The 17,384-nt window shown below is 41.1% G+C and overlaps 1 pseudogene across 1 annotated transcript in view; it reads right to left on the bottom strand.

Moving 5' to 3' along the window:
• Positions 1-2,114: 2,114 nt before the first annotated feature.
• PLEKHA8P1 (pleckstrin homology domain containing A8 pseudogene 1) overlaps positions 2,115-17,384 on the bottom strand; it is a 42,973-nt pseudogene continuing 27,703 nt past the window's right edge. The window contains exons 2-3 of the transcript NR_037144.1: positions 5,322-5,514; positions 2,115-3,723 (exon numbers count right to left, since the gene is read on the bottom strand). The product of NR_037144.1 is annotated as a pleckstrin homology domain containing A8 pseudogene 1 (transcript). The remainder of the gene's footprint in view (positions 3,724-5,321; positions 5,515-17,384) is intronic.

Here is a 17,384-nt window from a genome sequence, read left to right on the forward strand (position 1 = left end):
TCCATTCTAAAGCACCAGTGGTTTGGCCCAAGTGCAGTGCAAGGATGGGGAAAGGGAGGGACTTCTGAGTACTGTTGGAGGTGTGGTGCTCACTAGCTTTCCCCTTACATCTAATGCAGGATGACCAGGGGGATATGTTGTGTGGTAGATTCTTGGGGCAGGGCATATAAAGATAAATATCAGTCTATTAATTTGTAAAAAGGCATTGCTGTCTCAGGTATGAGAACAATCATGCCTTTGTAATAAGAGCATACTCTCCCTTTCGACAGACTGATGTGGAAAACAAAATAATCAGAAGGTTGCTGGGTGATGACCTTTGAATTATATCTGGGTAAGATACATCTGTCTCCCACAAATGTGATCTTACTGGCCAGACCAGAACCTTTGAAGTCTAACAGCTCATGCCCTCTCTCCTCTCCTGGTATGGCACAGACACTGCCCACCAATATTGTTTTGCAACATTAGTTTTATCCATGGGCTTGGGAAAATAGTGATTATGTATCTTAAAAAGAACTGAAATAAATGATCCTTGATTTCTCTTCTGGGTTCTCCAATTTCTCTTCCCTGGTTCTTTTCTGTGATTTGTTCAGAATCATAGTATTTGTGATTCTGTGGTGTCACAAAGCAGTAACATAGCTTAATGGTAAAGACTTCCAGCACTGGAGCCAGACTGCCTGGGTCCAGATCTTGACACTAACTTGCCATGTCTCTGTGACTCTACTTTCTTTTTCTTTTTTTTCTTTTTTTTTTTTTTTAGAAGAGTTTCACTCTTGTTGCCCAGGGTGGAGTGTGGCACGATCTCGGCTCACTGCAACCACTGCCTCCCGGGTTCAAGTGACTCTCCTGCCTCAGCCTACCAAGTAGCTAGGATTACAGGCATGCACCACCACGCCTGGCTAATTTTGTATTTTTAGTAGAGACAGGGTTTCACCATGTTGGTCAGGCTGGTCTCGAACTCCACACCTCAAGTGATCCATCCGCCTCAGCCTCCCAAAGTGCTGGGATTACAGGCGTGAGCCACCGCACCCAGCCGACTCTACTTTCTTTACCTCTAACATGGGGAGACTAATAGTATCTATTTTCCAAAGTTGTCATGAAGATTAGGAGTGAATACACATAATGCATTTGACATAGTGCTAACCATATAGAAAGCACTGAAATTTTACATATTTTGAGAATGTACTTGCCCATTTCCTTTGTAATTTACATTTTGTGTGTGTGGCTTTAATGAACTCAATGTTAAGTAATGACTTTTCATGTTACATAACAATGTGGTGTTATAACCCGGTTAAGTACTTAATATATACATGATGCCAATTTTAGCAGTATTATTATTACTATTATTGTAATAAATCACAATGCTGAAATTTCTTAAAATTAATGAGCATATATTCTCCAGGCACAAAGAAAATAAATACCTATTTATGGTTGAAATCTTTTTCAACTCAAGCCATACCCTTCAGAGGGAGACAATCTGTTGATCACTTCCAGAGCCGTCCCCTGGGAAAAAAGAGACTAGAAAAAAAGAAGCCTTGGGGATATGCTTTGCATGCATTAGCAAAGTCCAAGGTGAGTTTTCTGCACAATTGTGTCAGGGTATGTTTGTGCTAGCTTATTTTTATTCTCATTGTAGGGCCAGAGTAATTAAGGAAAACATCTAGTTATGAAATACTGGTAAAAGTTACAAGATAGAGGACAATTAAAAACCACATAGATGGAACTCATTTAGCAATTCCAAGTAGATACAATTGAATTTGCTTTTTTATGGTTGTTTTTGAATCATTCAATTCATGTAAAATATATTATCTCAAGCATTTTTAAAATTTCATCTTCCAAGGGCTTAAGATTTAATAAGCAGCAAGCTAAAAACCATAGTCAAATGTGTAAATCCTTTGTACAAATAATAGATAAGATGATTTATTAGAGAATGTAATAGCCAATATAACACTTAATCTTGAGTAAATGAATAATTTGTGAAGGACTTCATGACTTTTTAAGAAATTTGTAATCACATGGTAGATTTAGATCAACGCTTTGGGTAATTTCTGAATGTAAAATAATAAAAATATAATAGGATGAATTCTTGAAGTTTGGAATATAAAAAGCATGATTGATGCTGTGAAATCATGGTTTTTATTTTTTTTAATTTTATTTATTTATTTATTTTTATTTTTATTTTTTTTTACACTTTAGCACTTTATTCCCTGAAGTTAGGAGGTGCTGCCCAGCAGCCATCATACAACCTCATCAGATTCCAGCCCATGGACCTCTTATAAAGCGTCCAGTATGGCCATCTGCTTCTTCATGGCAGGGAGGTAAAGGCTGAGGTCCCTCTGCATCCCAATACTGAAAGCTTCTTTCCGGTGGTCACCTTCCTTTACGGTTAACGCGGCCACAAAATCTTCATAGGATGGAGTTGCCCTTAAAGCTAACGCAAAAACCCCTCGAACTACCCAGCCATGGTGTTGCCGCAATGTTTTACCATATGCGTTATTCAGGGCTGTCTGGATATCCTTTTCCCCATTTTTCACTTCTGTCAAAAATCCCTTCAAAAATTTGAGACCTCTCTTCAGCCACAAGAGGGCTTCAGTCGCTGAGTTCCTAACCTGGGCTACATCCGCCTCCACTTCGTGCAGCACTATCTTCTGGAGAGTGGTAAACTCTTCTTTGTTGGTTATATACTTCTGATTTACTTTCTTAATATTTTCAACAAGATCCATCTTAACAGGAGCAAACACTGTAGGGCCAAGTTTGTCTAATACTGGAACCACAGCACAACATGATGCCAAGAATGCTTCTGTGGGAATGCCACTGTCTTCCAGAAGTTCAATGTCACTAAAGCTTGTGTTCATGGTACTAAAGAAAGTTGGGATAACTTCTTTGCCTTCCTCCCAGAGGCATTCTGGAGAGCAACTTGAGTCTGATCCAGACTGAGACAAGTTATTGTCATGATTTTTCAGGTTTTCCATTCTATCTTCCTTCATTATTTCACCTTGGACGGTTATATTATCATCTGTATTTTCCTCACTTGATATGCTGCAGTCTATCTCTGCAGATTTCAAATATAAGGAATTCTTATTTTTCATTAGGATTTCTTCCTCACCATTTATTTCCATATTTAAAGATCCATTTTCACAAGTGCTCAACTCCGTTTGCCTTTCCAATGAATTATGAATTGGTATAATAGGATGTTTCATCTTGCTGGACTTGAGCATGGCCAGCTGTGGTGATCCTGGTGGAGTGTGGTAGAGCAGCTCAGAGGTGAAGGCTGCATTTGCAATCTGCATGCATTCTTCCAAGGTCTTCAGAAAAGTATTACAGGTTGATTTCAGCAAAGTTCCCACATCAATTCCCTCCTCAGAATTGGACACACCAGTTGTGGTCACTTCTTTTGTTTTATCTACTTGCTGAACAAGGAGGTCACAGCAGAGTCTTAGTTCTGACATTTTGGTTTTCAAGTTTTCAGTGTTTTCAGCAAACTCTTTATCCTTCTGGGTCCTACTGTCAGTCAGGCAAGCCTTGGCTGATCCCAGGGCCACCAGCCGCCGCTATCTTTCAGGCACACTTCTGGCCTTCAGGTAGAAATACTGTTCCCCGGGGATTATCAGGTCCATGCATGTATTATCTACAGAATGAACTTCAATTTCACAGACTGCCATTTGTATGCTCCCTTTGCAACCTTTCCAGGCATCTTCAGGAGAATCATAATAGGACAATATTCCCCTACAGAGAAAGAACCATCAAGGCTGCCAACTGCTCAGATAGTTGGTCCACTTGTACAGCACCCACTCCATGGCGCCCACGGCCACTCAGCCCACGCCCACCGGCCCCCTCATTGCCCAAGGCCCCAGGAGGCGAGGAGCACCAGCAGCAGGGCCATCACCCGGTGCTGCCCAGACGCCCACTCCCGGTGCCCGGGCCCGGTGTGGGGACGCCCGACCTGCCTCACCCTCGGCCCGGGGTAAATCATGGTTTTTAATTACACTTTCTTTAACTGTTGAATTATATCTACCTTCTAATGCCAATATTTCTAATTTGAAAAATCCCCCTCATACCCACCTCTTATTATTTAAAACAAAAACAAAACTCTATGTTTATTTTTCATATTTTTCAGTGAGGGCATCTGTGTAGTGGTATATGTGAACGGGTATAAGAACTTGCTCCCGGCCGGGCACGATGGCTCATGCCTGTAATTCCAGCACTTTGGGAGGCCGAGGTGGGTGGATCACAAGGTCACGAGATTGAGACCATCCTGGCCAACATGGTGAAACCCCGTCTCTACTAAAAATACAAAAATTAGCTGGGTGTGGTGGCGTGCACCTGTAGTCCCAGCTACTCTGGGGAGGCTGAGGCAGGAGAATTGCTTGAACCTGGGAGGCAGAGGTTGCAGTAAGCAGAGATGGTGTCATTGCACCCCAGCCTGACAGCCTGGCAACAGAGTGAGACTCCATCTCAAAAAAAAAAAAAAAAAACTTGCTCCCTACTACTGAAATGAATCAGAATGGCCTAGAGTTCTTAGGGTGAGATGCCTGCTGAGCACCCAGAAGCACTGCCAAGAGTGATTGTGCCTTTAATGCGTCTCCAAGCACCACAGTTTGGCTCTCAGCTTAGCAGGTGTAGAAACTCAATTTAACCCACGTATCTAGATAGCCTCTTGTGGACTCATATTAACAAAGTCATCTTAGATTGATGTATAAATCAGAATACCAATTAATTAAGTTGCACTGGAAAATACGTACTTTTTTGGTATAAAATAACTTATTTACATAATTTATATATATAACATAACTGCTGATATGTACCTTTTTTATCTAAGCATTTCTAAGGTTCATGTAGCCAGAGACTGGTTAAATGTTGGTGCCCACTGTGACTAAGGTACCCGGCACACTGCTTTGCACATAGGAGCTATTTAATAAATGTTGGGAGAAAAGCTGAGTGTTGGGAGAGAAGCTGAGGCAGGGCTTGCATGTCTGACATAATACAAAAAAGTCTTGAAATATGTCTGGGATCCTGGGTCTAAAACCCCTCGTGGCCTTTGGAACACCAAGCTCTGCGCCAAAGGGTGGAAGGCTACCCTGATGCACCATAATCTAAGCCCAGGGCATAAAACCCCTTGTGGCTTGGAAAGAATCCAGGGCTCATGGCCTCTGGAATGTGTCTAGGCTGGCTGGCTCCTTGCTCCCTGCTCTCCCAGGATCTATTGTATCTTGAGTTAAAAGAACCTGCTCTCCATTATCTCAAGTAGCAGAGCATATGCTAAACCATCACAGCTGTAAATCATGTGCTTAATGCAATGCTCCCTTTCAACCCCACATTCTCACCACCTGTTTCTTTGTTTGATCACCAATAAATAGTCTGGGCTTCCAGGGCTCGGGGCCTTCACAGCCTCCATACTCGCATTGGCCCCCTGGGCCCACTTTCTCTCTCAAACTGTCTTTTCTCATTCCTTTCACTCTTCTGGACTTCGTTGTCCCCACAACCTGGTGTTAGGTCCGATCACCCCAACAATAGATGCTAAAAAAAAAAAAAAGGAAAAAGAAAAAATATTAAGAAACAACAACAACAAAATGGAGTAAGACTAAGTGAAATGCTGTTGAAATCCCAAGTGCTTAGTATTCCATCCCACCTTCTTAAAGAACATACTTATGATAATTAATATTAGTTTTTCAGATTCTGTATTTTTTCTTGAGAAAAAAATTGGATTCTTCTAGACTCCTTGATTGTGAGTCTTCTTGATTCTCTTTATAACTCAGTCTTACTTTAGAGATAATAGATTCTAACTGATGAAGTATCAACTTTTCCAGTTAAAAATCTTCAACCCTACCTCTCAGAAACTTAACCCTGGTAAGCTTATTCAAACTTCCCAAGTCTCCCTAGTATCTATTAATAGACAATCCCTTTCTTCTTTGAGATAATCTCTCTAAATTCAGAGACCACCTTCTTCACCTGCATTTGTCATCTATAAAGAGCAGCTGAAAGAAGAGCTAATGCTCAATTTTAGTGGTTAATACATGTTAACATATATTTTCCCCTTTGGGGAAAAGAGCAATCCCATATCAATGGCTGGCGCCCCAAGTGAGAAGGCATGAGAAAGAGGAAAGAAAAAGAAAGAAAGAGAGAAAGAGAGAGAGTGAAAGAAAGAAGGAATGAATGAATGCATTCTGGTGGCAGAGTAGGAAGCTTGGGCCCACCTCAACCCAGCCCACAGACACAGCAATTTAGCAACAATTCATGGACAAATTCCTTTGTGAGAAATCAGAAATGAATTGAAAGACTTCTGCATGCCAGGAGACTATGAAACCAACTCACTGAAACTATTAGGGAGACTCAAGACACCCTCTTGCTAGAGACACTGCCCTGGCACAGTGCCATACAATCAAGAAGAGACCCACTAGCTCCAAGTTTCACCTAGAGGATAAAAGGGGTTGGTTCACAGCACCCTAACTCTTCTAAGGGGGCTCCAGAAAGGACTCACTTCTGTTTTTCCAGTCTTGGAACGCTGAAAGATTTGGCACAGTCTAACCACCTGGAGGAAAATGGATACAGTGACTTGGGCTGGTAGATGTCATTGTTCCTCTCCCCTGCTCAGCACAGAGCAAGCTTATAAGAATGCCAGCATTTAGCCTCTCCTGAGGAGGGAAAGAATTGATCCATAACTCCTCCAGGCCTTCCCAAAGAACTTGCATCTGTCTCACCAGTCCTGAAGCTCTAATGGGTTCAGTACAATCTAGTCACCTGGAGGAGAGAAGAAACAGTAGCTCTGGCTAGTAGATGCCATAGCTCTCCCCTACCCATGGCTTAGCACAGGGCAAATAGGCAAAACACAGCTAACTGCTTCTTCCTGGGGAGGGAAGGAGTTGGAAGAGACCCTCATAATCTATGACTAGGCTGACTGGTGGGGGTCTTCACCTTTACCATGCCAGTTTATGAAGACTGAGAGAGGTACCCGCTTTGTCTAACATGTAGACACAACACAGGGGGTCAAGAAAAATGAAGCACCAGGCAAAGATGTTCCAAACAATGGAATGAAATAAATCTTCAGAAAATGACCTAATGAAACAGTTATTTAACTTGTCTGATAGAGAATTAAAAATAGCTCTCATGAAGATGCTCATTGAGGTTAAGAGAAACAATGCATGAACAAAATGAGAATTTCAAGGAAGAGGTAGCAAATATTTAAAAGCATCAAAGAGAAATATAAGATATGAAGCTGAAGAACACAAATGACCTGAAAAATTCACTAGAGGGGTTCAGCAGCATACTAGATCAAGCAGAAGAAAGGATCATCAGTGAACTCAAAGACAGGTCACTGATAATAATTCCTTCAGAGGAGCAAAAAGAAAAAAGAATGAAAAAGAGTAAAAGTAAGCCTAAGAGAATTACAGAACACCATTAAGCAGACCAAATATGTATTGTGAGAGTTTCAAAAGGAGAAGAAAGAGAGAAAGAATGAGAAAACTGATTCAAAGAACTAACAACTGACAGCTTCTCAAATCTTAGGAAGGGAATGAACATCCAGATCCAAGAAACCCAAAGGGATGCCAAATATGAACCTAGGGAAATCCATGGGCCAGGCACAGTGGCTCACTCCTGTAATCCCAGCACTTTGGGAGGCCAAGGTGGGCAGATCATTTGAGGTCAGGAGTTCATGAGAAGCCTGACCAACATGATGAAACCCCATCTCTACTAAAAATACAAAAAGTAGCTGGGCATGGTGGCGGGTGCCTGTAATCCCAGCTACTTGGGAGGCTGAGGCATGAGAATCACTTGAAACTGAGAGGCAGTGGTTGCAGTGAGCCAAGATCATGCCACTGCACTTGAGCCTAGGCAACAGAGCAAGACTTCAACTCAAAAAGAGAAAAAAAAAGAAAGAAAGAAAAGAAAAAGAAAAAAAAAAGAAATCCACACTGAAATGCATTATACTCAAATTGTCAAAAGCCAAAGACAATACCAATTTTGAAAGCAGCAAGAGAAACAATTTGTCACATACAAGGGGTCCTCCAGTAGATTATCAGCAGATTTTTCAGCAGAAACCTCACAAGCCAAAAGGGAGTAGGATGATATATTTGAAGTACTGAAAGAAGAAAAACCTGCCAACAAAGAATACTATACCCAGAAAAACTCTCCTTCAAAAATGAAAGAGAGGTAAAGCAGAAACCTCACAAGCCAAAAGGGAGTGGGATGATATATTTGAAGTACTAAAGAAGAAAGCCTGCCAGCCAAGAATACCATACCCAGAAAAACTCTCCTTCAAAAATGAAAGCGAGATAAAGACTTTCCCAGACAAACAAAAGCTGAAGTTCATCACCACTACACCTACCTTAAAATAAATGCTTTAAAAAGTTCTTCAAGTTGAAACGAAAGGCCACTAAGCAGTAACTCAATAGCAGAAGAGTGTGAAATGTATTGGCAGAGGAGGCATAACTTATAGCTTGTTACTGGCAACACACAATTTGCCATCTGCTATAATTTCTGACCACTGATCTACTTTTACCTGATATAAAAGATGTTTGTGGGCTGGACACAATGGCTCACACTTGTAATCCCAGCATTTTAGAAGGCCAAGGCGAGTGGATCACTTGAGATCAGGAGTTCAAGACCAGCCTGGCCAACATGGTGAAACCCTGTTTCTACTAAAAATACAAAATTAGCCAGGCATGGTGGTGGGTGCCTGAAATCTCAGCTACTTGGGAGGCTGAGACAGGAGAATCACTTGAACCTGGGAGGTGGAGGTTGCAGTGAGCTGAGATGGTGCCACTGCACTCCAATATGGGTGACAGAGAGAAACTCTGTCTCATACTAATGATGATGATGATAATAATAATAATAATAATAATAATAATAATAAAAGATGTTTGTGAGCAGGAAAAGAACCTCATCTTTTTATCATCAGTTTCTATCAAGTCAAAGGTCCAACTGAAAAGATAATGCAACTAACTAAGCATACCATGTAGCAGCTAACTGAAGGACAATGACCAAAATATCTTATTGGGTTTCTGATTGTTTAAAAGTTATCACTCAAGAAGAGCCCATTTTGTAGGATAACAAATGTAGAACAATTCAAGTGTTGCACTGCTGTTGCCATTCATATTTAGCTTGGAGATAACAAGACACACAAAAATAACACTCCTCTGTCTGTATTTATCCTGCAATCATATGTGCCTAATTAAACTGTATTCAGAACTATGCATGTAAATCATGATAAATCTTTCAGATCCAAATTAAGGTAATGGGATAGTCCTGGTCCCAAAGCCAAATTTAAAATCTAGGTCCATATCTAATTAGAAAATATCCTCAGTGCTTTTCCCAGGTCATTTTATAATACTGGAACCATTAGGAGCATCCCTTTAGAGATTTTGACACAACATATTTGACTTTGCCTCCTTAGAGTTTCTAGAGTGACAAAGCAATTGTTTTCTTTTGTTTTGTTTTTTGAGATGGAGTCTTGCTGGTGCCCCAGCTGGAGTGCAGTGGTGTGATCTCGGCTCACTGCAATCTCTGCCTCCAGGATTCAAGTGATTCTCCTGCCTCAGTCTCCCAAGTAGCTGGGACTACAGGCATGTGCCACCACACTAGGCTAATTTTTTTTTTTTTTTTTTTTTTGAGATGGAGTCTTGCTCTGTCACCAGGCTAGAGTGCAGTGGTGTGATCTTGGCTCACTGCCATCTCCGCCTCCTAGGTTCAAGCAATTCTCCTGCCTCAGCCTCCCCAGTAGCTGGGACTACAGGCACACACCACCACACTTAGCTAATGTTTTGTATTTTTAGTAGAGACGGGGTTTCAGCATGTTGGCCAGGATGCTCTCTATCTCTTGACCTCATGATCTGCCCGCCTCAGCCTCCGAAAGTGCTGGGATTCCCCCGGCCTAATTTTAGTATTTTTTGTATAGACAAGGTTTCACCATGTTGGCCAGGCTGGTCTCGAACTGCTGACCTCAAGTGATCTGCCTGCCTTGGCCCCCAAAGTGCTGGGATTAGAGGCATAAGCCACCGTGCTAGGCCCAATTGTTTTTTAATTTGATGATGAGGAGTCTTCTGATATTTAGACCCCTGCTCAGTATAACACCAAGAAAATCCCAGAGAAAGGTATCTTGATTAAAAGATTATGTTTAACATAATAATCAAACAGTAATAATATTTATTTCTGAGAAAGTAAACTCAAATACCAGGGTTAGGGTGGCAGGATAATTTATTTTCATGGCATACTTTTTACCCTGTTTAAATAGTTTAATATGATACATATTAATTTTCAGAAATAATGATCATGGACTTTTCAAATAGTATGGCAAAAAAGAAAAATAACTTCTTATATTCAATTTCCATATTTCTATATTTGAAACAAATTGCTACTTTTTACTTCAGAATTATGCATATGTCTTGAGAATAAAAATCTCATCCTGTCTGACTTTTGGGGCCCAGGGTTGTATAACAGTTTTCTATATGAAGAAGTTATAAAGTCAAATAAGTCCCTCATTCTAATTTTTGGCCCAAACCAGGACCATGTATACCCAAAATGAAGAACTACATAACTGACAGCTCAAGACTTCCATGGTTGCTGGTTGATCAGTCACCTGAACAACTCAGAACTCTGCTTAGAAAGTAGACAGTAAACACAAGATCACAATGGTGTCTCATGTGCGATGCCAAGAAATATTGTGGGCTTTATCCTGCCCTGGGTCACAGCCTCAAACACAATATTGAGTTGCAAGCATAATGTAAGTCCAGGGTGGAAGCATGCACAGAAGTCAGACCTCCTCTCTTTGCTTTCTTTTCTAGCAAATGCCTAGGGAAATTTTCCTTCTTAAGGCTATTACTATTATCTTTATTATTAATGCTAAAATAACAATGTTGAGAATTTTAATCATTGTGATGATGCTAATAATGACTAGTATTAATCAGAAGTCTGTTCTGGCCAAGTCCTTTTCTAGTATTTTAAAGATATTTTCTCATTTAACTTTCAGAACAACTCTATGAAGTTTTATTTTTTTCATTACCCAAATGAGGAAATTGAGGCCTAGCGAGTTACATAACTTGCTTAAGATCTCACAGCAACTAAGTGGCATAACCCATGTTGAACTTTTAGATTGTTTGACTCCAGAGTCTAGTTTCTTTTTTTTTTCTTGAGACAAACAGTCTCATTCCATTATCCAGGCTGGAGTGCAGTGGCGCAATCTTGGCTCACTGCAATCTCCACCTCCCAGGTTCAAGCAATTCTCCTGCCTCAGCCTCCCAAGTAGCAGGGATAACAGGCGCATGCCACCACACCCGGCTAATTTTTGTATTTTTAGTAGAGACAGGGTTTCACCACGTTGGCCAGTCTGGTCTCGAACTCCTGACCTCAAGTGATCCACCCGCCTCAGCCTCCCAAAGTGCTGGGATTACAGGTGTGAGCCACCGCGCCCGGCCAACTCCAGAGTCTATTTTCTTAACTTGTACTTTTAGCCATTCTAATCTTCAATCCCAGTAGTGAAATTAATTGCATAATGCCTGCCAACAAGAGAATCCGAGCTCTTTAGGTTTCTAAAAATCTCATTAGATTGTTTTTACATTTACTTTTCGGTCAATCTTGAATTATCTAAGGGAAGATATGTATATCTAGCCCTCTTGGATTACCTACATTATTGCTTTGCTAACTTTTTTTTAATCCCTTAGGATTCATGTCCTATCCTATCAGGGAAGGAGGGAAACCAGAAGAGGTAGAAGATAGATCAGTCAGTTGTGCTACTATAACAGCTTTGAGTACAGCTGAGAGGCTTTGAAACTAACATATAAAATTAAGCTTCAGGATTATCTGCTTCTTTAGTACTTCATTCATCTGGATATAATGAGATGAGTCAGCCAGTAGCCAAATCCCACTTACAATTGTAATGTAAGTATTAAAAGGAAAAACTTTACATATTATACTTCTGCCATTGTTGCCCAAATAATTTTGCATAATTTATGTTTTTTTATGGTTGGAATTCTGCAAATATAATTTATGAATAGCATTTAATTGCTATTAAATTATGAAGGCAAGCTAATATATTAATTACTTTCATATCTATTTTTTCCTCTTTTGCTTTACTATAATTTTTCAGAAACTAGCCATATTAATAATCCAAAAGTTATGCAGACAAATCAGAATCTGTCTCATATGTGATGATTTCTAGACATGATGATCCACAATTTCCCTTGATATTTCTTTCCTGAATTTTTCGGTACTCATTGAAGGAATTGCTCTTTCATATCTAAATCCTATTCCTGTGGATGAGACGCATTTCTTACTGCTCCATCCCTGGGAGAAAGAGTAGCTTGCCATAGGAACAGGGAAGGGTTACTTTATATACTATGAAATGTTCTGAGTTTTATATATGTGAAAAAGATCCAGAAATTAAATTTTAATAAGCCTCCAGATTTGGGCAGCAATCAAAGGCTTCCTCTATAGCAACAATTACACACATCACTGATCTGAGATCAAATATTTATGTCTTCTCCTACATGCTAGAGAACTAGCATTTTGCTAGTTACTGTTATTACCAGGGCAATTCAATAGAGGGCAAAAGAGACTAAAAATGTCATTTCACATTGGAAATTGTAAGAAAAAGCAATAACAAGCCTGGAAAAGATTAAATGCAATTGGAAATGAGTCTAAACTGAAATAAAATACTGTATTTTAGTAGATTTTAGTAGGGCTATAATTTTAACTTCTACTAAAAAACTGTCGTTTTGCCTATCGCTGAAAAGAAGACACAAAAGAAGACAAAAAGCCTGATGCTAGCAGGAAACAAAAGCTCTTCCCCATTTCCTAAAAGTACTTTCTTTTCTAGAAGTATATTGTTTGAAGGAGACTCTTCCATTATGCCTTGGGGAAAATGTAACCATTTTTTAAAAAATGAAATATAAATTATTCTCCCCTTTGGAAAAACTTTGTTTCCTTTGGTGTTGTTAACATAGAAGGCAGTGAATAATTTCTGCTCATTGCAGGACCCCATCAAACAATACCAATGTCTCATTTACCTTAAAGGACTAGAGTTTGCTTTGCATTGCCAGCAATATCACTGCCACCATTATCACCACATTATCAATTGCTATACTGTAATATCTTTGGGTGTGCAATCTTGCAGTAAATGCTCCTGCACCAGGTATTTTTCCAGAACTATTATAGAGCTACCTTTGAAGAATTTGTGATTTAGGAACTTACACTAAATTATTATATCCCCATCTTACATGACTTTATTTCTTTTCTGTTCACATTTCTGGTGATTTTACTTGGTTTCAAAGAAGCTATAAAATTCTGTTATTTATTCTCAGTGGGTTCCAAATACACAACCCAACTGGCCTCTCTGGGACCTCAATCTCCACTGGGGCCTCTAAACTAGGAATGGCTGCAGTGAGGATATGGTCCTTGGATGAAGTGCTTGTATAATCCAGATCAGCAGGCAGGGCTCGGTGAGAAAAGGGAACTGGTCATGGATGGCAGGCAGTTCTAAACGAATGGCCTGCCTGGCCAGAATTCAGAAGAGGGAGAGAACTCGGGCTCTACCTGAGTCTGGAAAGGCTTCACGGAGAAGGATCTTGAAGCAGGGATAAGGTTCACAGGGGGCTAAGAGTGGAGGAAAGTTGATCTCCAGATGATGTAATGTGAAGTAATGGGTAGATGGAAGGAGCCAGAAATGTTCAGGAAGCTGTAAAGAGACCTGTCTGGCGATGGTAGTGTTTATGAAGACAAGAAGTAGGAGGTAAGGGTGAACAAGCAGGTTGTAGCTGGCCTTGAATGGCAGGCTCAGAGATCTGAATTTTATTCTCCATTCATGTGGGAGTTGCTGAAGATTTCTGAAATAGGGAAGTGACAGGATGAAAGTGCTGTTCAAAGAAGATGAATGAGGAAGCTAAATGATAGGGCCCAACTCCCCATCTCTCTGGGAGGGTTAGATGCTTAAATTTGACAAATGCCGATTAGCAAACCCAGATGGATTTCACATAGATCCATTCCCCTTCCAGCTTTTTATGGTTTTTCACTTCCCTAACTCTGCTCAAGCCCTTGCCATGCCCCCTTCCTACTCCCTCATTCTCCCTTTGAAAAGCCCTATCACCAGCCACCCAGCCTGCCAGCTCATGCCTGTAATCCCAGCACTTTGGGAGGCTGAGATGGGTGAATAACCTGAGGCCAGGAGTTTGAGACCAGCCTGGCCAACATGGTGAAACCCGATCTCTACTAAAAATACAAAAATTAGCTGGGCATGGCAGCACACACCTGTAATCCCAACTACTCGGGAGGCCGAGGCAGGAGAATCACCTGAACTCGGGAGACGGAGGTTGCTGTGAGCCGAGATCGCACCACTGCACTCCAGCCTCGGTAACAGGTGAGACCCTGTCTAAAAAAATAAAAAAGAAAAAGAAAAGAAAAGCCCCATCACCTCTGTACAACTTGGGTTGGAGTTCAACTCTTCCTCACTGTCAGTAGTTATTAAATAAAATCTGTTTTACCATTTTAACTGATGTGTGGCTGTTTTTCTTTGACAGAGGCCTGAGGTTTAAACAATTTGGGGAACCTTCTTTAAGAAAAGGAATACAAAATTACAAATACAAAACTAAATATGTGGCTTTGGAAGGGGCATATGCAAATGAGGGCCCCTGAGCATAAGCAACCTTAGCTTCATGATAAATCTTCATCTGGTTGACCAGATAGACAAGGTGTCTGCTTTCTTGAAGCTTAGGTTCTAGAGGGAGTGGAGAGGAGAGATAGGCAATAAGCAAGTACACAAATGGGAATTTTTAGAGAATAATTACTCTGAAGCAAGTAAACTGGCATGGTAGAGTGGGGAGGAGGAGAAGAGAACAAGAAGAGCTCTGCTTTCAGGCATGGTGGCTCACACCTGTAATACTAGCACTTTGGGATGCTAAGGCAGGTGGATGACCTGAGGTCAGGAGTTTGAGACAAGCCCAGTCAACATGGCAAAATCCTGTCTCTACAAAAATACAAAAATTAGCGGGGCACCATGGTGTGTGCCTGCAGTCCCAGCTACTTGGGAGGCTGAGGCAGGGGAATTGCTTGAACCCGGGAGGCAGAGGGTGCAGTGAGCCAAGATCGCACCTCTGCACTCCAGCCTGGACAACAAAGCAATACGGTCTCAAAAATAAAAATAAAAAATAAAAAAGAAGAGATCTGCTTCCAATGTGCTGTCTGGGTAGGTCAACTGCATTCCAAGCAGATAGTATGTCTGAGAGACATACTACATGCCATACGGCATATAGGTATAAGCCATACGGCAGGACATACCAAGTGGAATAGAACATGAGGTCCAGGATGTTAGGCAGGAGACAGATCATGTAGGGCCTTACAGGCTACTGTGAGGTTCAGAAGCTGGATTTAGTTTTAAGCGTTTTGGTTATCTATTGCTACATAACAAACTATCTCAAAACATGGTATTTTAACGCAATTACCATTTTATGATTTCTCACAATTCTGTGAGTTGACAGGCTCAGCTGCCTGGTTCTTCTGCTTTGTGTGGTGTCAGCTGGGACCACAGTTAGTTGAGGGTTCCACTAAACTGGACAGTCAAGATGGCTCAGTCCCTTTTCTAGCACCTTGGCTGAGATGACTAGACAGCAGGACTCTGCTGGACACTGGCACAACTGGACTCTCTCTCTCTCCATGTTGTTTCAGCGTCTCTCTAATGCAGAGATATCCAATCTTTTGGCTTCCCTGGGCCACAATGGAAGAAGAATTGTCTTGGGCAACACATAAAATACACTAACATGAATGATAGCTGATGAACTAAAATTTAAAAAAAAAATCACAAAAAAATCTCATAATGTTTTAAGAAAGTTTACAAATTTGTGTTGGGCCACATTCAAAGTTGCAGGCTGCATGTTGCCTGCAGGCTGTGGGTTGGACAAGCTTGCTCTAATGTGATCTCTCCAACAAGATACATAGACCTCTCATATGAAAGCTCACAGAATCTAAAATTACAAAAGTAGAAGCTGCTGAGACTTCTTAAAGCTTCAGCTTTAAAACTGGCACAGTATCACTTCTGCGTTCTACTGGCTCAAGTGAGTGACAGCACTCAGATTAAATGAGGGAGCTGAACACATGAGCATGTGAATATGGAGAGACATGGTTCACTGGAGGCCAGCTATCACAGAAGCCACTTACTTTTTAAAAGACCACTCTGGTTGTGGAGTATGAACTGCAATGTTAAATCAGCTTAACAATAACCCATGTTGGGCACAGTGGCTTACGCCTATAATCCCAGCACTTTGGGAGGCCGAGGTGGGTGGATCGCCTAAGGTCAGGAGTTCCAGACCAGCCTGACCAACATGGTGAAACCCCGTCTCTACTAAAAATACAAAAATTAGCCAGGCGTGGTGGTGTGCACCTGTAGTCACAGCTACTCAGGAGGCTGAGACAGGAGAATTGCTTGAACCCAGGAGGCAGAGGTTGCAGCGATCCAAGATTGTGCCATTGCACTCCAGCCTGGGCGACAGAGCAAGGCTCCATCTCAAAACAAACAAACAAACGAACAAAAAAGCAAAACAAAAAAACAATAACCCACAACACTCGGACCAACTTGGGGATGAATTGCAGTGAGACAAGAATAGAAATAGAGGTCAGTTAGAAGGCAATGGTAATACTCCAGATAAGACGTGGTGACTGCTTGAACTATGGTGGTAGCTGTGGATATGGAAAGAAATAGATAAACTTGAGGATGGGATGAGAAAGTATAATCACCCAATAATAATCAATGTCTGGCATATGTTAAAATAAAAAGTAGAGTAAAGCATTAGGACTGTAGTCATCAGGCAGCTATTAAAGATTTCTTGATGGGGAAATTAATAGAAGGAAAGTCATGTTTTAAGAAGATTCACGTGGGAGCAGAGTACAGAGTGGATTCTGGTAGAAACAGAGCGCGGGAGAGGAAGAAAGTCCTGAGGTAGGAGACAAGTTAGGAAGTCCATTCTTCCCATGATCCAAGGATTAGACACTAAGTCCTAAACCATAGTGATAGCAGACAATATGGAAAGGATGAGAAGCCACAAGATGTGAGAAACATCATGAAGGCAGTGTTGACAGTACTTAGTGACTGCTTTGATGTGGAGATTAGGAAAAGAAAGGACCTTCTTTAGGGAAAAGAAGAAATTAGTGATGGGTCCAGCAATCAGGATTAATTTACCAAGGTTCCAAGCCAGGATGGTGGAGATAGGTGGTACCACTGACAGAACTAGGAACGTTAGGAGAGGGAACTGGTTTTGGAGAAAAATATAACATGTTCTCTGCAACACCTGTTGCTTTTGGTAGGGTCATTTAAATAGAAACACTAAGTCAGAAATGCCTTAGAAATACAACGTTGGGGCCAGGCGTGGTGGTTCACACCTGTAATCCTAGCACTTTGGAAGTCTGAGGCG

The sequence above is a fragment of the Homo sapiens genome, chromosome 12 (genome assembly GCF_000001405.40).
Source record: "Homo sapiens chromosome 12, GRCh38.p14 Primary Assembly".
Taxonomy (NCBI): Eukaryota; Metazoa; Chordata; class Mammalia; order Primates; family Hominidae; genus Homo; species Homo sapiens.